Source organism: Homo sapiens, chromosome 4 (assembly GCF_000001405.40).
Source record: "Homo sapiens chromosome 4, GRCh38.p14 Primary Assembly".
In the NCBI taxonomy this organism is placed as follows: Eukaryota; Metazoa; Chordata; class Mammalia; order Primates; family Hominidae; genus Homo; species Homo sapiens.
The window spans coordinates 115,097,462-115,121,845 of NC_000004.12; the positions used below are offsets into that span (position 1 = coordinate 115,097,462).

A 24,384-nucleotide genomic window follows, 5' to 3' on the forward strand; every position below is an offset into this window, starting at 1 on the left:
CCTCTCTTTCTTTCCCGTCAGACATACCAGGCATCCCATCCATTGGCTCTACCCATAAAATATATCTTGAATCTGAACATATCTTAACAATTCCCATGGCTATCACCTCTGCACAAATTAGCATTATTTCTCCACTGGACTATTGAAATTTCTTTCTAATTGATCTCTGCCTAAGCCCTTGCTCCACATCATTTTTTTCCCAATACATTGACCAGGGTCCTCATTTTACAATGTAATTAAGGTTATGTCTCTCCTCTGATCAACTCCCCACCACCAAAATCGGCCCTAATTTTACTTAGAGTAACAGCCAAATTCACAGAGTGGTCCACACAGTTCTACCAAGTATTCTACTACATCTTCCCTACTGGGCCTCTCTATATTCTCCAAACATGCTGTGTTCTTTACATATGTACTTCTAGGCTTCTGGACTTCTTGTTTCTTCTTGCCTAGAATACTTGTGAACCAGATATAAACATGGCAGATGTCCTCATTTCTTTTAATCTTTTATTCAAATGTAATATCCTCAGTATAGTTGTTTCCGGTTTCCCGGTGCAAAATTGCAAGCTCCCTCCTTACACTTCCTAAACCCTGCTTGGTTGTGTGTGTAATACTAACAATCTATTACACCATATACATAATATTACATTTCTTCTTGTCTATCACTCCAATTAAAATGCAAACTCTTTGAAGCTGGAATATTATTCTGTTCTGTACCTTTTATTCCTAGTTCCTATATCTCTCTTTACAAACGAGTAGCAAGAAATTGGATTGAAAAGGTAGGTAGGTAATAGAAGATAAAAAGGTCTTACTCAAATTCTAGAGAGTTTAAATTTGTTTAAAATTGGACAACTATTGAAATACTTCGATGTGAAGACTGACATGGTAAACATTTCCTTTTAGAAAGTTATCTTTTGAGGAACTAAGAGGGTGGATTAAAGCCAGCAGGTAGGAGACCAGTTAATAATTAGTTACAATAGTCCAGAGGAAGACTTAAAAATGAAAATATGGATTAAAAAGAACACGCAAAGTATATTTGGAAAGCAAAAGACTCACAGTCACCAATTCAATATTAAAGGAGAATAACAAAGTTGGAGGATAGATACTAACAAACTTCAAGATTCAAGGTTTATTATAAAGCTATAGTAATCAAGACACCGTGGTGTAAATGAAAGAACAGACCAGAATAGTGATCCCAAAAATAAACTCACAAAAATATTGTCGATTAATGTTTTCCTTTTCTTTTTTATTTTTTAATCAGGTTCCCCCTCTGTCACCCAGGCTGGAGTGCAGTGGCATGATCACAGCATGGCTAACTGCAGCTTAGCCCTCCTGGGATCAAGTGATCTTCCCACCGCAGCCTTCTGCATAGCTAGGACCACAAGCATGTGCCACCACACCTTGCTAATTTTTTTTATATACATATTTTGTAGAGACAGTGGTCTCACTATGTTACCTAGGCTGGTCTTGAATTCCTGGGCTCAAGCAGTCCTTCCACATTGGCGTCCCAAAATGATGGGATTACAGGCATGAGCCACCATGCCCAGATGTCAAGTATCTTTGACAAAAGAACAAAGGTAATGCAATGCAGAAAGGATAGCCTTTTCAATAAACCCTGCTGGTACAACAGAACATCCACATGCAGAAACAGTGATTTACACACAGACTTTACAACCTTTTTAATAATTAACTCAAGTGAATTTTAGACTATTTGTAGATATAAATTTATTGAAATGTAAATGTAAAATACATAACTATAAGACTCTTAGAAGATCATATAGGAGAAGATCTAGATGACCTTGATTTTTTTTTACTTAACACAAAAGGAACAATCCAAAAAAGAAAGAATTGATACGTTTAACATTATTAAAGTAATAAACTTTTGCTCGGTGGCAGACACTCTGAAGAGAAAGATGACAGGCTACAAACTGGGAGAAAATATTTGCAATAGCCGTATCTGATAAAGAACTGTTTTCCAAAATATACAAAGAACTCTTAAAATTCCATAGTAGAAAAACAACCCAATTCAAAAATGGGAAATAAAAACCTAAATAGATACCTCCTTAATGAAAAAATACAAATGGCCATTTAGGATATGAGAAGATGGTACACATCATATGGTACTGGGGAGTTGCGAATTAAAGTATCAATGAGATGCCAGTACACACCTTTTAGAATGGGTAAAATCTAAAACAATGACAACACTAAATGCTGGGGAGGACATAGAGCAACAAGTGCTCTCATTCATTGCTGGTAGGAATGAAAAATGATACAGCCACTTTGCAAGACAATTTGGCAGTTTCTTACAAAGCTAAACATAGTCATATTATCCAGCAATCATGATCCTTGGTATTTACTCAATGAGTTAAAAAATTTACATTCACACAAAAATTTGCACACAGATGTTTTATTGCAGCTTTATTTATAGATGCCAAGGCTTGGAAGCTACCAAACTGTCCATCAAAAAGTGAATGAATAAATAAGCTTTGGTACATCTGTACGGTGAAATATCATTCAGCTCTAAAAATAAATGATCTATCAAGCCACAGAAATACATGGATGAACATAAAATGCATATTAGTAAGTGAAATAATCTAATCAGAAAAGGTTATATACTATATAATTCCATTTATATGAAATTCTGGAAAAGGCAAAACTATAGAGTGAGTGAAAGGATCGGTGGTTATCACAGGTTTGGGAGCAGGGAGAGAGGGATGAATAGGTGGAACACAGGTGATATTTAGGGTAGTGAAATTTTTCTATTTAATACTATGAAAATTAATACATAATTAAAAAGTAATGACAATACAACATTTGTTGAAACCCATAGGATATAAAACACCAAGTGTGTGCCCTGATGTAATCTGTGGACTTGGGGTGATAATGACCTGTCAGTACTGGTTTCTTGATTGTAGGAGATGGTGGTGGGAAAAGTTGTACACAGAGAAATATGGAAAGTCTTTGTACTTTCTGTTCAATTTCTGCTGGGAATCTTAAAGTGCTCTAAAAAGTTAAGTCTATTCAAAAAAAGAGCAAGCTGTTTCATGACATTTATATATAACTTTCTAGCTCTTATAAATTTGTAGCCCTATGTGGGCTACTATTACACATGCACAGTAGGATACATTTAAGAAGCACAGTTTAAGAGCCACAATACTTTATTTAAAAGGAATTATGTTCTTCACGTATATTTCCTTAATAACATTAAATAGTCTGATTCATAAGACAAAATGACACTTCTAAAATACCTGTTTCTCTACTCTTCAATTTCCCTGCACCCCAAAGCACGGAGAATTTCTGGAAATCCTCTCATTACAATACCTCGTTTCTGACAAATGCTTCACTCCTTTTTTTTTTTTTTCCCTCCTGCTCTGCCCTCCTTTCCTTAAGTTCCTATTGTACTGATAATTAACCTCACATTCAGAAAGCAAGATGCCCTTATCTTTAAGGGGAAGTAAAAAGCGTGGATGGTTATGTTGTTTGTTAAAGAGACAAGGTCGTGAATATTTTCATATGAATTATTTTTGTCCCATCACATAATAAATAGAAGTGTCATGATTTGGTGATTGATTGGATGTAGAGGAAAAAAAAATCACCCAAAGACTTCAGGCTTTCACAGTCATTCATTTAAAATTGATTGAATGCTCTCTAATAGCCAGATGCACTATCCATCTGACAAACACTATCTCTACTCTTCAAAAGCAATGGAAGTTTATTCTGTGACATATTCTATGACATAAAAAGGCAATTGCAATAAGGCATGATAAGTGTAATAGTGGGGAAGATACAAAGTTATTTAGAAGTAGAGAAGTGTGAGGAGAAAATGAGTAAATTATAATATATCATTTTTGAAAAGTCTGTGAAATATCAAAAAGGAAATGTCCACTAGTTTGCTGACTAATAGAAATGGAATTTAAATTCTTTGCAGGAAGTGTAAGTTAAAGGATAGAAAAAAAACCCTAATATTGAGTAAGAACACTAAGGAACAGGGTGCATGGTAAGATGATAAAGGCTTGCCATGAAAATATTAGGAAATAACACTAAATAAATGGTGTTGGTGGAAGAGGGTAGTAGAAGCTGTACGTAAATAATATAAAAATAAATATTTGTGATAAAAGCTGAATACTATTTATGAGTCAAGAAATACAACACAAAATTGATCTTGAATTTGTCAATCAAGAGAATACTGGTGGTGGTGTTAAAGCAGTCCAGTGGTATAGTGAAGTCAAGTAAAATGTTAAAGTGAGTTGAAAACAAAGTGGTGGTGAAGAAGCTGAGAATAGTTTGAAGAAAAAGAAAAGGAATTGAAAGAGTTAATAGGAATACAAAACTTTCTGTCATGAGGAATATATGCTTATTAGCAGGTGAGAACTCTGTAAGCGATATGAGATTTCAGAGAGAGTGGAGATTCCCATGGACTGACGTCATTAGGAGACGGGTTGGAGAGGGATGTAAATTGTTTTAGCCATTAAAAAATGAGAGGATTTAGATTTTGAGGAGAAAAGAGAGATTTGAAAAAGAAGAGAAAACACAAATCTGTGACAAGTCAGGGGAGTGACATGATCAACTTTGTCCTTAATATTACAATGGAGTATTTATTTTCTGTACTTTTCTGTACACTTAAGTTAAATCAACTTATAGCCAGCAGCAATGATTATCATCAACTGATAATTGCTTTGTTTTAGCTCAATAATCATTATTTAAAACCATTATTATATTTAGTATTGATTTGCATCCTTGCTAATTGCCTCAGAAGACAATCATGGAAGCAGTTATCCATGAAACATAAAATGCTCATTTGACCCTTGTATTCTTACAGGCAAAAAAACTATAAGATACAGAGACAAGTGAATGAAACCAGAATGTAGAAATTTGCTAGCTGACTTATGCATAAATAAAGGAGAGAGAAAAATGATTTTGCCTAATATTTAACATTAAAGTTTAATTTCAAGAAATCACAAAAGAAGTTATTAAAATATCAATGATAACAGTAATCAAATTTTCCATTATTTTTTAATGTAAATTTAATGCTAATAGTATTGCAATTATATTCAGAAGTTACATTAATATCCATAGTCTCTTAGAAGCTATATTTGTAATATTTTAATTATTCTGCTTCTGAATTTAGGTAAGCAGTCACTTCCATCATCATAAATGGAATTTGCCTGTATCAGATGTAACAAAAGATTACTATCTCTTAAAATTCACATCAGTGGTCATTTATATACCATATACTTCTGACTTCCTTTTTTTTTTTTTTTTTTTTTGACATGGAGTTAGGCTCTTATCAGCCAGGCTGGAGTTCAATGGTGCGGCCTCAGTTCATTGCAACCTCCACCTCCCGGGTTCAAGCGATTCTTTTGCCTCAGCCTCCTGAGTAGCTGGAATTATAGGCGCCTGCCACCACGCCTGGCTAATTTTTGTATTTTTAGTAGAGACGGGATTTCACCATGTTGGCAGGCTGGTCTGGAACTCTTGATCTCAGGTGATCCACCAGCCTGAGCCTCCCAAAGTCCTGGGATTACAAATGTGAGCCACTGCTCCCAGCCCCACTGACTTTCTTATCTAGAGACACTTACAATAAATACATTAATGCTGTCCAAAAATTTGGATCATTTTTGGGTGATATAACAAGAGTCTATTACCTAGTTTACAGAAAGGTCTAGCAAGATGTTAATCATTATGTTACCTTTCTATCAAGAAAGTATCTATGTGACATTCTGACTTTGTGCTGCTGGTGATGGAAAATAAACTCTTTCTAAATTGTCACTTTAAATCTATAATACAAAAAGCTATAAATTTTAATTATCAAAATTATTATTCAGAGAACTCAAGGGATGAATGAATGAAGAATGTAATGCCCAAAGAAGTGAAGTGACCAGTCCACTGTTAAACAGCTAATATGAACCCACATTTTTAAATTAATTATAAATCTCTTCTTTCATTGCCACTGCTCTATATTGGCACCTTAAATATCATGAAGTAAAATTTTCATTGCTGTACTCAAGACTTACAAAGAATCTTACTCAAATAGGAAATACTGATATTTTCTTTTGATTATTTTCTAACTATATATTTAATAAACCCTGTAGTTATGGTTTCCACCTTTTATTTACTTCAGAGAGTTCTTAATTTTACGCAACACACAAAATGATTGGATTATTCTTTATCATAAGAGGCATACTCCATTCAATTTCACAGGTAAACCTGCTATTTTTAATTTAATTTCCTTCTATTTTATGTTATTTTGTCTTTTAGATATTAACAAATAAAATGCCAACTTGGCCATAAACCAGAAATAATGTGGATAGTAACATGTAAATATATCCTGTATAGAATATTATTCTCCCACCAAAAACTAATCCAGGTTACACAATTCTCAAACATCAGAAAAGCATGATAAAAACTCAAGAGAAGAGATCTGGAGTGATTTCACATATTCTGCTTCTTGTCAGAGACAACATTTCTTGAGATGTTCCTATTTTAATACTTGATGACTGGCATCTAGAATTATCACGATAGTTACTTATGGATCCTTTAAAAGAATACTAGACATCGTACCAAAATAATTCACTTAGCAAACTGGTTTGGTGGAAAATACTGGGAGATTTAGAAATGTGAAATATTGTGTTTATATTCAAAATATATTTTGGGGAAACAAAGAATAGGAGTGAAAGTGGTCTTGTTTTACATGTGGAAACCATGAGATCAATTTAAAATTTATCAGCACATTTGTGGCAAAACTTAGAATATAGTTTATATCTTTTTACTTTCAGCCTGGGTTAACATTAGTAATTAGTAATTTAAAGTAGCTTATTATGTTTACCAAACTGCTTTTTTGGAAGAAATTACTACTGCCTTGAGAAGGAGACAGATGGTGGCCAGGAAGGTTTCTTGTGTTTACATTGTGTCACTATAAGGGGTGTGGATAAAGACTTCGGAATAAATACTCTCTTCACCTACCTCTCAGCTCTAGCAGTTGGTCAGAAGACCAACTAGGAAACATTTGCATTTGTTTTTATTCTATCCAGTTCTAGTTTCTGAATCTTTGTCTTTGTCTTCTTCAAATTCCATGTTTCTGCTTACTCCAGCGTGACAGAAAATAGAGGAAAACTATTTGGCCCCTTTTTCTAACATTTTTTTCTCTGGGATATAGTATGTTTTCCTGAAAATTTTTGAATGTTAGTTAATTTTCAAGATCATGATAAATCACATTAAAATGTTGGTGAATGAAATTTGATCCTTTAAGTTAGATTCAATGTTATTAATATTAAAATATATGATCAACAATACAGTAGAGACAGTAGAAAAAGGTGACTTAGATCATTATCTCCAAGTGAGAAAGATTGGGAGCAGTCAATACTAATCACTCAGGGGATACTTTAAATCAGTACAAAATGTGGCATTGCAGGCCAAAGTCAGAGTACTGACACATGTAATCAAAACTTGATACTATTAATTTAAAATCTCATGTTTCCCACTGTGTACTAGAAACTTTGGACTTATTGTTATGTTTAGCTGTCTCAGCAAGTCTATGAATTATTATTACCCCATCCCAGATCATGAAGCTGAAGCAGAGAAGAGTTAGAATTTTCAAGGTTATATCATGAGTCAGGGCAAAGCAAGGCTTGGAATCCTGATCTGGTGGAAACCAAGGTTAACACCTGCCTTCCAATATGTCACAATATTATCTCATCTTTAATTCACATTTGTTTACATGAAGGCTTCTACAAAAAGGCATCATAATTAGGTCAATCAATCTCTGCATTCTTTAAAATTTAGAAGTTTATGGAAAGCAAAATTATTTTTCTTATTCATTCCTCTAATGTTGACATGTTATCTTTCTTGGACTGTCTCAAAAGAATAGTAAAATAATATGTTTACAATAAAAAACAAACTTTCACTTACTCAAGAAATGTATTATTTTATTTTCTTTATAAAATGGTACATCTTATAAATAATTCTATTATGAAAATTTGCTTTTTTACTCTAGGGCATATCCTGAGTAATTTCCACTGTGTAATTTTACCCAGTGGTTATTTACTTGAATTATGTTGACCAGTCTTCCAGCCAACTGCTAGAGCTGGATTTAGGTGGGCCAAGTGCTCATTCTAAAACCTTTGTCCATACTTCTTATAGTGCGACAACAAAAAACAACAAGAAATCTTGGTAGCCAGCATTTATTTTCTACGCAAGGCAGAAATTCCTTCCACAAAAGTCTTCTGAACAGGTAGCATTCCAGCCTGTGTTTGTTGCTTTGACTGAGTAGAATCTCACTGATTTTTAGGAAGTATTGTTTTACCTGACATTGCATAGAAACAACTTCCGTACCTTTCGTAGCTTAGTCTGCTAGCGTCACATAACATAAAACAAATTCCTTTTGCATAAAAAAGTATCTAATATATAAAGATAACTATACTGCTCCCTTTTAGCTTTTTTCCTTTAATTATTACTGTGTTTTTCAACTGTTACTCATATAGCATAGTTGCCAGATGTCTTCTCACATTTTACATTTATCAAACCCTTAGTATCTATTGATTATTGGTCAAGCACTCTCTAAGCATTTCTGCCATCAAAAAGCTTTTGGATAAATGGGGAGCGCTGACACACACACAGCAATTACATCATAAGGTAATAAGTGCCCTGATGGAACAGTGTGGGGGTAGGGCAAAAATATCTGGTTCACCATGGGGGAAGAGGAAGGTCATAGAAGACTGCTATTAACATGAGGCATCGGGAAACTGAGAATGATGAACAGGCCAAATAATGTCAGACTTGTATTAAATAGGATCACAGATAACTGTTTCCTGGATGTTGACACTATGGTTCTGTTAATGCATTCTAAGTTTGTATTAGCATTGTATTAGTGTCATCAAACTTTTGGTTCTTGTTAAATTTGAGGTAATTTTATAATTGGAGAAATTTTTTAAAAAAGAAACAGTCATCTCTTGTCATAAGGAGTGGTTCCTGGACCCCCTAACCCTCCAGGACCAAAATCCAGAGATACTGAAACCCCTGTATAAAATCGCATAGTATTTGCATGTAGCCTATACACATCCTCCTGTATACTCTAGCTCAATTCTAGATGACTTATGATACCTAATACGATGTGAATGATATGTACATAATTGTTATACTGTATTATTTAGAGAGTAATGACAGGAAAAAATGCCTGCACATGTTTAGTACAGAAACAATCATCTATGTTTTAAAATACTTTTCATTTTCAGTTAGTTGAATTCACAGATGGACCCATGGATACTAAGAATTACATCGATCTTCATTTCATTATGTTAGGTCCATCATTCCAGCCAACTGGGTGATGTTTTGGAATATTGGTTCTTACCGCCACCAATTTGGGAGAATGAGATATGGAGCCAGCTCCTCTGCTACGTAAGATTTAGTAATAGCACTGAGACCAGGCAGTGGCTCATGCCTATGATCCTAGCACTTTGTCAGGCTGAGGTAGGAGGATAGCTTGAGGCCAGGAAATCGAGGCCAGCGTGGGCAACATGACACCCCATCTTTACAAAAAATATGAATAATAAAATTATCTGGGTGAGGTGGTGTGCACCTATAGTCCCAGCTTCTTGAGAGGCTGATGTGGAAGGATTGCTTGAGCCCAGGAGTTTGAGGTTGTAGTATGCTATGATTGCTCCACTGCCTCCACCCTGGGTGCCAGACAGTGCAAGAGCCTATCTCTAAATAAAATTAAAGAAGGAAATAAATAGCATTGAATTTCAGTCTGTGAGAAAAAAATTTAAAAACCAGTAATTTGAGATAATTTACACACATAATACTTCTTAATACTTAGAAATATAAAGAATAGAAGTAAAGGTGAGACTTCTATTTTCTAAAACTGATTAGTTTTTTTACTTTCCAGAGAAAGTGACACTAAATAGTGTGCCATATCTTAAATTCTCCCAAACAACTTCACAGACCTGAGGAGGATAATCAATAGACAGAGACAAAATTCAGCTTGTCAGCTTGCACATTACAAGAAATTGCTACTCCTCATCACATTTTTCTACAAGATAAAATAATAATGTTACTCAATTTGACATCTATGTTTTATATGGATTTACTGAGTTTCTGCCTTATCAGAAAGGCATTTCCTGACCAGTCCTATCACTTTCACATACAGCTTTTAATGTGCCACCTTGACTTATCTTTATAGCACTCACAGGCACTACTGTGGGGTCTTTATTTATTTACTGTCAGTTTTCTACCATGAGAATATAAGCCTCCTGAGAGCTATTTTGTTCACCCTAGTAACTTGCATGGTGCCTGACACATATTAAAAATAATAGAAAATATTTATTTTCCTTATTTTTATGAACATTATTGAGCAAAAGTAAAAAAGCTATTTTTTTCTGTCTAAGGTGAAAAATATGTCCAGACAGATAGAGTAATTTAAGTATTGAATTGAGTTCAACCTCGATTGATCAATTTTAGCATTATTTCTATGGATATCAAGAAAATGTCCTGTTTCAAGGAAAGAAACTTCAAAAACTGTGTTATCAGGAACCATAATACTTTAGATAAGTTGGTAGTATAATTTATTGATTGTGTTTTATTTTACTTATTACAGTACAGGGAATCTCAATTGAATTGACATAACTATTAGTGAAAGATTGATTGAGAAACCAAATTTAAATTCTGATTCTAATTATTCACTTGCACTTTAGAGTAATGAATAGAATTAGGACTGTTATATGCATTCACAGGAGCATATGCATCTCTGCATCTGTTACCTTTCCTTGCATTAATCTTTAGTGATGTTATATTTATTTCTGATGTTTAAATGATTGTTATGTAGGCATGAAAGACTATTCAATACATCAAGAAGAAGAAGAACTCTTTTGAGGTGTCTGATGAACTATGACAAATTCTGTGGATCAGCAGTCTACAACTGAATTTCTGATTCAGGAATAGAATCAAGCCAAAGCATCTAAATGTGTGAAATCACTTTCCCTTCTCTCTTTTTCTTCCACTAGCATGGCAGTTGGCCTTTGGGTTGCTTATGAATGTTAATATCCTTAAACTACTAGATATAAAAATGATTTAGAGGATTTAAAATTTCTAAGGAAAAATTATTTATATTTATTATTATCATTTTATTTTTTACCACTAAGGTGCATCTGCTATATGGAAAAGATGTGACTGATATTAAAAAGGGAGTGTTGGAAAAAAAAGAATTCCACTTAAATAATTTAGTAAATTAAATGGAAATTTATAGGTGGAAGAACAGCCCATATGTTAAAGTCAACATCACTATTTCTCTGAAATAAATCTCCCACCCTATTTCACTTTTCCTTGATTGCTTATTGCAACTTAACCCACTCTTTCTCTTCATTTTCCCCACTTACTCTGTGTTCAAACCAGGTTATTAGATTAATAATTGCCACAATACTAAAGATGAGTGATTTGCTTTCCAATTACACAAGAGAGCATGTAAGCTGAAGTGGCAAAAATGAATGGAAATAAAGGAAGGAGGGAAAAAGGGAGGAAGAAAGGAAAAAAGACAAGAGGAAGGTAGGAAAGCAAGAAGGAAGAAGGAAGGAAAGAGGGAAAAGGGAAGGAAGGAAGGAAGAAAGGAAGGGAGGAAGGAAGGAAAAAGTGGTAAAATAAGAAGAGAAGAGAGAAAAGAATAAAGAAAAAGAATAGAAAAAGAGAGGAAGGGAAGGGAAATAAGAAAAATGAGTAAAAGAAAGAGAAGAAAGAAAGGAGCTAATGAAAAGAGATTAAGGAAGCATTTCTCCATTTACTTTTTACTTGAATATAGTGAACCTGGCCAAGCTAACTTTCAACTTCTGTGTAGTTATAGTTGACGATGCATTCCATTAAGGACTTTTTAAAAGGAGGCTAAATATTTGAAATAAATCACAACATAAGTTCAATTGATGGTGGAATTTGCAAAATAGAGAAATTCCTCTAATTTGGGAACAAATGAAGCATGTGGCCGCACATAAAACTCATGTGTTTATTAGCTTGCTAAAGTTGCTTTCTTCATTGAACTCTTCAAATACTTAAAGTAATAATTTCTAAACAGAGTACAAATTGGATTTAGTACAGAAGTCCCAATTCTATAATTCACTAGAGTCATCACTTTTGTTTCTCAACAAAAGTCTCGCTTCTGTTTTCTGAGTACAATATCAAATTATATTCTCAAGCATTCAGACATAGTTTTAACCCTTTTTTCTCAGATTTTTCAAAATTTCAACTAATTAAACATAACTATTTATTTAGTGTTAATGAAGTATATTATCTCTTTTAAAAGATATATCTAAAATAGCCTATGTATGTAAATGACCTCAAAGGGTCACCTGAAAACCATTATTTAGCCTGTCATGTGTAGTTTATTTTATTAAAACCTATTTCATGGCATGAATTTTCTGAATACTGATGAATATAGACAAACTATAACAATGCAAAGAAAATAAATACATTAAGTTATATCAGCAAACATGTTTACCTGTTGGAATGAAGAGTAATTTACTATTCACATTTCAAAAAAATATTTTTGCCTTGAAATGCCTGAGGCTATTGATGAGTTTGGAATTCATTTTCAGACTATTTTAGCTTTTGAGGAAATCTATTTTCAATTCAATATTATTTCTGAAAGAAATTTTAGATTTGTCACCTCTAGAAAGTGATAGTTTTCCTTAGAAAACTGAGATAAAGAAAGCTTGGAAATAGAACTATATCTATTAGAAATGCCTGTATATATGTGTACACATTCTGCATTGCAAATAACACCTCTAACTTCTTAAGCTTGCTGAAAATAACTTTTAAAAATAGGGCATTTAACACCCTGCATAACAGCATAGCTGAAAGTTTCCTGAAGTGTTAAAGAAAAGGCTGGCTAGATGTTTTATCATGATGGCTGAAGGCGGTAGCATTGTGTCTGACACCTGACCCATTTATCTCACTTCGTAAACTTCAAATAAATCAACAGACAACATGGTTTCTCTTTTTCCTAGTTATCTGGGGGTACGTAATGAGAGTTTACCTTATGTTTGCTGCCTACCTTCAGAAGATATATGCTACAACAGTATTTAGTGTGTGTATCTTTACTGTAAATTTTACTAGGCCAGGTATTTTAATAAAACTTTCACATTTCTTTGTTTTGGCATGTATCCATATGTGTCATTTCTGATCTCTCTGCCTCTCCAAGATCATGGTTAGATGATGCATCTCATCGTTATTTCTTTTTCTTTTCCTGAGAATAAACTGTATTTTATAGGAGTTTCTGGTAGGCTTATTTGCATTTTTTCAACAGAGCAACTTTTAATAAAGAAGAAACCTTTGTTAGTTTAAAATTTAATTCTACTTAGAAAATATATTTGTTCTTTAAATATCCCACAGTTTGTACTGGAGAAAAAAAATAACACTTCAGGTTAGACTCTAAACATAATGCATTATCAATGAATTTTAGCCCAGAAAGAATTAGCCTTCTGGGTGCACAGCTTCTCTGTCTTGGCTTCCAGCCAGGGCTGATATTCTAGCTTTATTTTATGTTTCCCCAGCTGCTTTCTAAATCTGGGAAGGCAGCACCAGCCAGAATCTTCTAGTTTGAACACAGTATGCTAAATGCTTCTCTCTTCTCCCTTAGTAATTGCTTGTAAATGATGCACACAAAGTTTGATCTTTGGATTTTATTTCCAAAGGCCCCCTTTCAACTCAAACAGAAAGTACAAGGGGATCATATGAACATTTAACCTACTGGGGACAACTGTTCTACTGGGTTGGAAACATTTATTTAGTACGTTTAAGAACTAATGTTAGTATTGAGATTGAATTATGTTTATTTTAAATCCAAGTATAGAATGCTTTTCTTTGGGAGAAGAAAGAATAGGTATAACAGTTTTTAATCTCAAATAAAAAATGAAAGATCCTTATTTTCCTGAGGTGAACATAAGCATGAGCATATGTTTCTATTTTGATTATCAATTATAGAAATTCCAAATTATGACTTAATATATTTATATATAAAAATAGTCCCCATATACTTCCTTTTGATGTTTAGGATAATATATTTAAAATTACACATTTCTTAAATAATAAGCCTATCTTGGAGAAAACAAAATGTAATTTACATATATTTGCATTTTTATTTATTATTTATATATTTGCATTAATCAATTTAAAAAATTCAAATTTTCAGGAGGTTTTACCTTCCTTTTATTTAAAAATAATGCCTGAGTTTCTAAATTGGATCTAAGGGTGATTTTCAAGTTATATTAGTAACTCATATATATTATAACTTTTTCAAAGGGTTTTTATGTATCAGTCTTAGTGGTGACCAGGTGCCATTCAGATAGAGTTAAAAGGCCCATTCTGCTTAGTATTCAATTTCTAAAAATCTTCCCAATTAGCTTATTATGAGATGTCTATCAATGTAAACATTGTTTAATATTGATCATCATAATGTATTGTCATACGATTTCTTATTTTTAAAAATGTCAACAATAGTAGGCTTAACTTCCCATTTATATATTGAGATAAATGTAAATGGCAATTATATTTTGCTTATTAATTAGTTTTTTATGAATTCCAGTTGAAAACTTAGACTGTTGTAGTCAGTGGACTTTATATTCTTTACATAAACTTGCTACTCACACACACACACACACGCACACACTCATGCACACAAATGACCAGCACAGAACCTATGTGACACTGGGATATAGCTAACTGGCATACTTTTAATAGAGTAGAATAAATTACTCTTTTGATATGAAAAAAAAAAAAAAACCTTTACATCGTTGTGGGAAAATTCATTGCTTCCTAGTTTTGGGGAAATTCAACCAATTACAATAACTTTCATCTTTATCAATTTCCTCTTGGGGCAGAAACCTCACAGGATTTTAACCATGTTGTTGGTGAGAAAGTGGAAAACTAAAATCATTCTGAGAGTTACAGAAACACATCAGTATCTTGGTATGCAATTTATGTTAAAGCATTTATGAAACTGTGCAAATGAAAAATATTCTGATAAAAGGCACCACGAAAACAAGCAAAGGTGAGTTTGAAAGAGACATGATAAAACATAAACTTAAAACTTTCTAAAGCTGTATGAGAACTCACAGTATAACTTATCATAATAAACAAAACATATAATCACTTAAAAAAACTATGACAGGAATTCTGTAGAATATAGTATTTTATTAATCAGGACAAATTCTAAGAAAAATAAGGTTTAATTTTCCTTATTTAGCTTTCTCAAAAAGAATATTGAAAAGAATGAGTAAAACCATATTCCAATAACATTTCTTGTTTTCCAACTTATTCTGTGCTTGAGGAAATTGGAGGTATACCATAAAGCTTTCTGTCCTCCTAGGAAACTATGCTTAGGGCATATGACATATATTGTTCTAAGAATTTATTTTTCTTTTCTAATAGGAGGTAGGAGGAAAGCACCTATTTCTTTATAAGCAATTTATGACTGTAACATACAATTTCACATGTCTGTGACAGCTGTTTCTCTAAAGCAGACCATTAGTACAGAGCATGCCTATAAATCTCAGGTCCAAAAAACAGGAGTTCCCATCTTCGGTAATTTGAATGCCATGTTTTCAGTAACACTTATTAGGGAAACATTTATAACCCTACAGTTAACTTTGGATGTTGAGTTTGTAAAATTGGTGCTTTTAATATGAAAAGGCTAAAGTTGTTATCAAATAAGATATTTCCTATGCAAATGTTCCGGCAACTGTTTAAATTTTATCAAGTTGTATCTCTTTTTTTTTATGTACGACTGTATTTTCTACTTACGTGCAAATATAACTTCTATAAAGCATGATGACAGGTAAGCACACACATGCGGAAAAGGGAGATTGAATTTGGTTTTAAGATATTATCTGCTTCTACATAAATCTTTCACAAATAAAACTTTATTGTGTCCGACTTGTTTACATAGCTAAGCAACGCATATTCATTTATGATACACACCTCGATTTCAGCAAATTAAGCAGTAACTTACCTAGAGAAGCATTTCAATATTTTGTCTTTTTCTAACTTGAATTTATCCCGTGTTAGAACATGAGATATCCAGTATTCAGGTTCACTTGGCTCCAGGTTAATTAGAAGGAGCTTTCAGTTCATGCAATCTGCCTCAACAATATTCCAAGAGCACTCTCTAGCTCCAGTCTTAGTGTCTGAACTCTTCCAGCAGAGTCCTTTTATTTATACACACATTGTCCTTTTCAAAACAAGCAGCCAGCTGGAATGATTCAAACCTCTGTTCAGCACACCGTTAAAATGCAGCTTCCTTCTTGGACACGAGAATTACACCAGGGAGCAGACCGAGTACAGCAAAAAGGCTATGAGAACTATTTAATCACCGGAATACCAGCTGCTCCTGCTCTGCTGTTGCTAGTGCTGCTGTGCCTCTTGTTTAGCTGTAGTCGGTCTTTCCCTCCCTCCCTCTCTCTCACATCTCCAGAACTATAAAGGCAGCTTTGCCGGATTATGATTGGCAGAAACAGCCAATTCCTTCAGCTAATCATCCTCAAGACTTTCAAGGACCTGGAGCTGTTGTGATGTCATCCAGTCAGTGGGATGTTACACATGAATACATTCCAACAGAAGCTAATTCAGCGATGGGCTGCATTCCGCTCACACCGCGGTGATTGATTAGATGCTCCTTGAAGATTTGCATAATCTTTCATTGTACAGTTCGACTATTTCCTATGAAATTTGAGGATAGAATTCCACTTTGCAGCTATGACACTGTTCCACGAGATTCTATTGGACAAAATAAGAAAAGTTCAAAGCAGGATTTTCTGCTGTAAATGTGTGCCAGTTAAACACAAAAATTACAAACTCAACAAAAGCCAACAATGAGCAATAGGAAACTCGGACAAGTATTAGTAAGCTACATAGTCCTGAAGTTAATAACAGCATTTTAGACCATGATAAATGTTAGAAGAAAAGAAAGAGTATGTGCGTGTGAATTTATTGTGTGCATTGTTTTAGTAATTAAGGTAAACTACTGGATTATTATGGAAAAGTTCTTTTCTATGTCTCTTTTCTTCTTTTTAACGTGGCAATATAAGTTGAAAATTACCTGCTCTTTGTTTTCTATTAATTCGTGTAAACACATAAAGATATTATCAAGTACTTTTATATACATTATGTAAAGTTCTTTAAACTTATTCATTAGGATATATGTAAAAGTAAAAGTAAAGTGCTTTCAGGTACTTCTCCTCATTCCAGACTACATGATTCCCTGGGCTTTTCTTGCTTTAGTACATCCCTTAGTTTCTACCATTTAATTTAGTGGAATAAGATAGGCTAATGAGAATTTGGTTCAACACCCCTAATAGGTTGCAGAACAGAACTACAAGCTTTTCTCAACTCCAAGTCCTCCTCAGGTATATGGGTGTCTTTGGTTGTACGTAGTAGTTCCACTTGAAATACTGGTGTGGTTTCAATGAAATCCTCTATAAGACTGGAAGGTAGGGGTAGGAGGGAGTCCTTCAAAACTCAGCATTTATTGATGATGTGGTCTTTCAGAAGAATAATTTTAATGCATCCAGGATTACTAGTATTATTATACTGCACAAGGTTTTGAGGGTTAGCAAGCCATAGACATATGCCATACAGAGAATAGGGAAAAAAAATCTAGCAAGTTAGAAAAAATATTTACCAGTTATTCATAAGCAATAAATAAAACCTAGTAACTCATAGGTCATGTATCAGTTAGTTTTTCAGGTGCACAGGCTAAAATATATTAAAGAAAAAATTTATATTTTAAAAATAATTAAAGCGTTCAGGTACTTCTTACTACCTTTTAAAACATTTGGAATGCAAAGATGCATTGAAGTCAAGTCAGAATTTTCAGAGTGATACACATCAAAATTCAAAATGGATAAATAAACTGCAGTTAAATATTTCAAAGATGTCATAATAAAATAATTATTACTAGAGTAGCATCATGGGAAACACTAACAGTTGATAAATAACATAAAATAGCATAAATTGTAAAAGCCAATTGAAGATTTTTCTGTTGTATGTAGTTTGGCTTACTAATAATGCCTTCTTCTTTATTCAAGTTGGGTAATTATTTTTAAGTCTTAACTTTAGAAAAATAATTTAAATGAAAAACTATTATAAATGCTCAACATCTTTATATTATTGACATAGTTCTATTTCACAACTCAAGAATGCCACTTTATCAGAGTATTTTCATTTATTGGAACTAAATGGCAACACAGTGATCTGAAGATAAAACCCATCACATTAAAACATGGAGCAGGGTTTATATCCTCGGCTCTAGTGATAAACTAGAGCTGATATCCATTGATGATTACAAGTGAAAAATGTTGATCAACTTCTTCTCTAGCATTAAACTATAAACAATGTTTTAAGCTGAAGAGGTAACTACTTTCACAGTGTAAAAATGCTATATAAAATATTAATAGAAGATATTCTTATTAAAGGTAAAATTCTTTTAAATATTTGTGAAACATGAACTTTGAAATTCAAAAAATCCAGAGATGAGTAATTAAAATTCAATTTAGGGAAAAAATACCCAACTTTACTCTCCCTGCCTCATTTTTCATTCAGAAATACACTAAGTACTGAAGGCAGAGGGTCCCACCATATACATATGTATAAATGAATGGAAACCCACCAAAAAGTGCTTTCTTTTCTATTCCTGGGGAAAACCAGAGAAATTCACAACACTCACACTAAAACAAAACAAAATAATCCTCAAAGTATTTTGAATATTTTTCTTATACTTTTCTTTGTATATTGTATTCGCAAATGACTAAAACAAACATATTTGTGAATTTGTAATCTTTTATCATTTTCTCATCTGTCATGTTGGGAAAATGAAATAAATGACCTTGGACATTTCTGGGAAGAAATGTAATACACAAGAGAGAAAAGAGGAAATAATTACTTGCTCAAAGTGTTTTAATTTTTTAAATCATTTAACTTGTGTTCCACAATTTACAGGGCTTGCACTTAAATATCAAAATGTAGCATCAAGTCAGCTCATTTTCAACAATACACGCAATGCAAAGCATTCACCCAATTGCTTATAGTTGACTTTTAAGAAGAAAGTGGATGCTTTTAAGTTTCTTTAAGCACTCTATAAAGTATAATATAATTGTTCTTTTATCTATTAAGATGTAGGTCCAGACTTATATTAAGACCTCAATGGATTTTTAAAAAATTGAATTGAACTTGTTGAACTAATAAACTTTTAGAGCTCCACATATTTTTATTCAGTTGCTCTCTTGACTCAGCAAAAGTTAAAGTAGTATTTGCCCACTACAAAACCTTTTCATTCAACTGAATTTATCTTTGAATTTACCTTTTAAATTTTCAGTGGCGTTTCCTTGGAAGTTCAAGAAATGTGTATGTGTTATATGCATTATTTGGAAATTTTAAAAGTGAAAAACATTGAAAACATTATATAATATACACTTATAACATATATCTAAGAACATAATATACTTTCAATTTAATTTATAAATACATATATACGCTTTGTTCTTTATAATACACACATATATCTTTGTATATACTTACTCAATAGAAGAAAAAAAGATGTTTATTTTAAAAGGAAGGTCTTTTTTTTGTTTGTATGTCAAGTCTTTATTACAGTGAAAATGAGAGGGTAGTAATATCTACTAATAAAAATCTTAGAAAACTTCAAAAAAACTCGGTAAATTTAACAATTTCAAAAATTTTCATCATTTTCTTTCTCATTTTGTTCTGCTAATTGTTACTAATGGTAAGTTTTAAATGCTTGCCTCTAAAATAAATAAAGGTTTGCACAGAAAATACTAAAACAAGATTCCAAGTACTTCATAATTTCTACTTTTTAAAAAATTATTCACATGCATATACAGGCTATAAACAGAAGATATTTAGATCTTTAAATGTACATTTTTATTCATTTCAAGTTTCATCTTTTTTGTTACTTTTAGAGCAAAAATAATTTTGAATGAGCACAACCAAATAAATTTATAGTTCTCACAATTTTGATTGAATGCGTTTAGTTTAATTTACAGTCTTCACTACTAAAACTTATAAATACAAGATTCTATTACCACACTACCACTTTCTGTCTATATCCTTTTCTTTTAATTTTATTTTTTAACATGAGCAACTATCCTGTTGTACCAACACGAAAGGCTATAACTCTTTTTTAAAAGAAAAAGCATGAATAAAAGAAACTTCTACGTTCAAAGTTTATGCCTTCAGGGAGCAGGGGAAGCCTCTAATTGGGCTGTGAGTGACTAATACAAAAACTTTTTATTAAGAGAAAAAAATCTTCTGCTAGCAATTGTTAGGATAAGAACTTATGTGAGAAAGAAGTTGCATAAAGTCACTTTTGCTTCAATGGTATCATAATACATGATAAAAAAATCGTAAGTGCCAAATAGCATTACGTGGATAACAAACACCCCAGTCACAGACTTAGATGTTATCTTATTACACATCTGGATCTCTTGTTAGCAAGTTATTAGAAAAAGGGAAAAAAATAGGAAGAGCAGGTTGGAAGAAAGAATCTTTTTGCCAGTATCACTCTAGTGCATTGTTGTAGCAAGAGAGAAATCAGCATGTTAATGCTTCAAATAAATCCTTTGAAGATGCAAAACTTGAAAGGCCAAGTGAGGGAACAAACAGACTAAACAGTCCAATTCCAGTTTGGCAGACAACTACTTAAAGGAACATGATTTTTAATAAATAGCAGTTGTTGGCCAAAACACCATTGCATCATAAGAAATTTTGTTGTCACTAAAATGTTAGCACTCAAGTGAGAGACCCAGGGTGAGGTGGGGGAGGACAGTAAAAATTAAATTTATGATTTTTCCATGGTCTGATCTTTGCTATGAGAATTTTCAGTTAGTTTCTCTTTTAGAGGGTACACAAAGGTGAGGAGAGTTCATAAAGCGCATTAATTGGGCCCCAACTCCAGCGGGAGTGTCTCATCAGAGTAGGATCTTTAAATACCTTATAGGGGTTGTATAAGTTTTATCTAGGATAGGTAGTTTCAGTTTGTTTCTTTCTTTGTTTCTCTTTTCTTTGGAATTTTCATTTGCCAAATTTTATTAGGGTTTGATGGTGATTTCCTTTTGACTTACGCCTTACAAGTCATTTTACATTCTCTAATTTGAAGTCCTAAATGTTCAAAGTGAGAAAGCTACTTGCAGACCAGAATCATAGCATCACAGTGATAAGTTTGATAAAATTCTTTTTGTCATATAGGATATTTTCTTTCATCTGTTACCAAATTTTTTGTATTTTAAATATCCCAATATCATTTGTTTTCCGCCTGCTCCAGTCCTTCAGGGAAAGACATCTCATTTATGAACTATTTGGCTAATGCTCTGATCAGCATGGGAAATCTTAATTTTTTACTAAGCCTTAGCAAATCAGTTTCTGTCCTGTTAGCTTCAGTGCCTCACTGTAAATTATCGTCACTCTGGGGTAATTCACTGGATGCTGTCACTCTTTCTCCTATTTGGTTTAAGCCGTGTGTGTGTGTGTGTGTGTGTGTGTTGGGGGACCATGTTGAGATGGTAAGTTGTGAGGAAGTGGTATAAGAACATGAGATGTTCTAAAGCAAGTCAACAATGGCTGAAAGTTTCCTTAAGCTTGAGAAGCAATACTTGTGAATTCTAAGTCATGCTGTATTCCAAGACCTGTAAACCCAGTGTTGCCCTCTGTAACCAGCTAGCAATGGGGTACACAGCATTATATTGCTATTGTTGCCTGATTTGTAGGCACACACATAATGCTAGCAATGAAGTCTTTATTCTTTGAGGACAGAGATAATCTCTTTTGTTTTTGTTTGTTTGTTTGAGGCTTATATCCTTAATACTTGGAGCAGTGCCATGGCATAGTTACTGACATTTAAAAAAATAAATTTATGAATGAATGAACGAATGATGGCAACCCAAAGCTAGAAAATAGGGAACCAGAAATTAACATTTCCCCTACAAATATATTTTCAATGAAACTGTTGCACCAGTTCTGTATGTCACAAATAGAAGCAACAATTCATTTCAAAAGGAAGATGCAAAGATACATTATAAAGCAATTTTCCCCATGGATAAGAAGACCCAGATTAGTTTTCCTTTTTAGAATCCATGTCATTTAATCTTCCTAATATTATTCATGAATAAAAATATTTTAGTAAAAATATTGTCATATATTTTAAAGAATTGAAAATATTTTATACATTACTGTAATTTGGTTTGCATTTATAGAATCAGAAGAATGGCACTGTAAATTCTAAATATTCCTTTATGTAAAATGATTTGTTTGTCTTCCATATTAAGTATAATTTTATTTTAGAACTTTAATTGGTGTTTCCCTTTTCTGAAAAGGAATTATCATAAATGAGATGATATGAAGTAAATGAAAATATAGTACTCCGAAAACAGAGATATTTTACAAAAGAAAACCAAACAAATAATTAAATATAATGTAAAATAAATAAAGTAAAATGAATTCTGATACTCTAAACCTACTATATAATAAAACAATGATGAATTTTTTTGTCAGCTCAGCTGTTTATACCTGTTAGAGGGTGGGAAAGAGCAAAGTAATTAAATTAAGAGGAAAGAAAAATCATGTGATGAACACAGGAGTGTATGAAAGAATATACTTATCACCCTGCTAAAATATTCAATATTTTACAATATTCCCATAGAGGGCAATATTGTATAAAAGATGGTGAATGAAGACTCTGCCAATTCATCTCTGTTGATATGCTTTAAAGAAAACTGCTGTTACCATAAATTTGGAGCTCCACTTCCCCTCAAACTCTAATATATAAACTGATGCACACAAAAACATAACACAGAGTCTCATCAAAGGCAAAGAAAATTAATTTGGTATCACTTACTGGTAGATTACTTGAGTGAATAGCCTCCAGTTTCACCTTTAATTTGATTTAATCACTGCATCTCAGATCTCAGATAGCAGATTGAATTCTCCTATATAACTTACATCTATAATACACACATGTACATATATATACACAATACCATTTAGTTTATTTGAAATATTAATAAGGTAGTGCCTTCTTCAGTGCCTGGAAAGTAAAGGTAAACTACAGGTAACATATAAAGTGCGGCAAATTTTGTAAAATCGAAGTCTTATCAATGATTCAAATATAACTCTAAGGATCTAACCATAGAATAGGGCTGGGCCATGGAGAATGCAAAATTATACTTAGCTATATCTCTCAAATTTATTTCTATTATAAAATCATCTTGCACTCATCTACCTTCCTTATTTAAATATACTCCTTTACCTTCCCCTCTTGTAACTCAAAAATAGATTGCTTCACTGTAAAACCCTTCCTCTCAAAGATGTTAAGTATATTAGAACTTGAAACATTTGCTCTTGAATGACCTTTGTAATAACTGCTAATTTGCATTTAGCATATACTGAAAGAAAAGACATTGTGCATTCTGTAGTATCATTAAAACATACTATTATCTTAAACATTCAATTATCTACAGATTTTAATACACATAGTGATATGGAATACATGGAATTATGAAGCATACTATAACATTCTACCTGTCTGCTATGCCACAGATGCAATTCTACCTTCAGAGAGATGAGTCTCCTCAGTTCCCTCGTTATGAGATGTCCTATACAAGATCATTATGATTATATCCTATAAAAATTATTTTAAGGCTAATGTAAATAAATGAAAATTAATACGACTATAAGCCAGATTTAGTCATAAGAAATATAAATCTAGTCCTTTTATTTAGGACATCCAATTTGTACCTGAATATTAAATCAAACTAGAGTAAACTGTTTAGTTCAAATTAAATTATGTGAATCTTTAAAATAACGTTAATTACTTGTCAAGTACAACTTCTCAAGTCTAAATAATTAATATTCTTTAATCTGCCAAAGTAACTATGGTAATCAAGCAATTCTTGTGTGTGTTTGCAGTTAAACAAGAGGTACATTTAGAACAATCTGGTTTCTTGAAATCCCTATCTCAAATTTCCAGATTACTTTGAAAGGAGTTATTCCTCCAGCATAAAGCACTATTTGGCCTGACCCTTCATGACCACTGTTAGGATGATTAAGGGAAAAAGGCTATTTGTTGAACCTGATACTCTGAGTCACAGTTGATAGTAGAGGTTTGTTCCAATTTACTTGCTTTCATAATACATTCAATACTAACATTATGTAATCTTCAACTCATTTTTAAAATCTTCAGAGTTTTCAAAAGATGTTCTCATAGATTATTTGATTTGAGGGTCACAATGATCCTATTATTAGTTATTGTGGTATTATATCTGCATTGTATAGGTTAGAACACTGAGACACAAGTAGCAAACCTGGGATCAGCAACAGGACTCACTAATCCTTAGCCCTGTGGTC

The 24,384-nt window shown here is 32.7% G+C and overlaps 1 protein-coding gene across 2 annotated transcripts in view; it reads right to left on the minus strand.

Moving 5' to 3' along the window:
• Positions 1 to 16,159, minus strand: part of NDST4 (N-deacetylase and N-sulfotransferase 4) — a 285,858-nt gene extending 269,699 nt beyond the window's left edge. For both annotated transcript variants that reach the window (XM_017008545.3, NM_022569.3), the window contains exon 1: positions 15,983 to 16,159. The gene's annotated coding sequence lies outside the window, so the exon portion shown is untranslated. The remainder of the gene's footprint in view (positions 1 to 15,982) is intronic.
• Between the last annotated feature and the right edge of the window lie 8,225 nt (positions 16,160 to 24,384).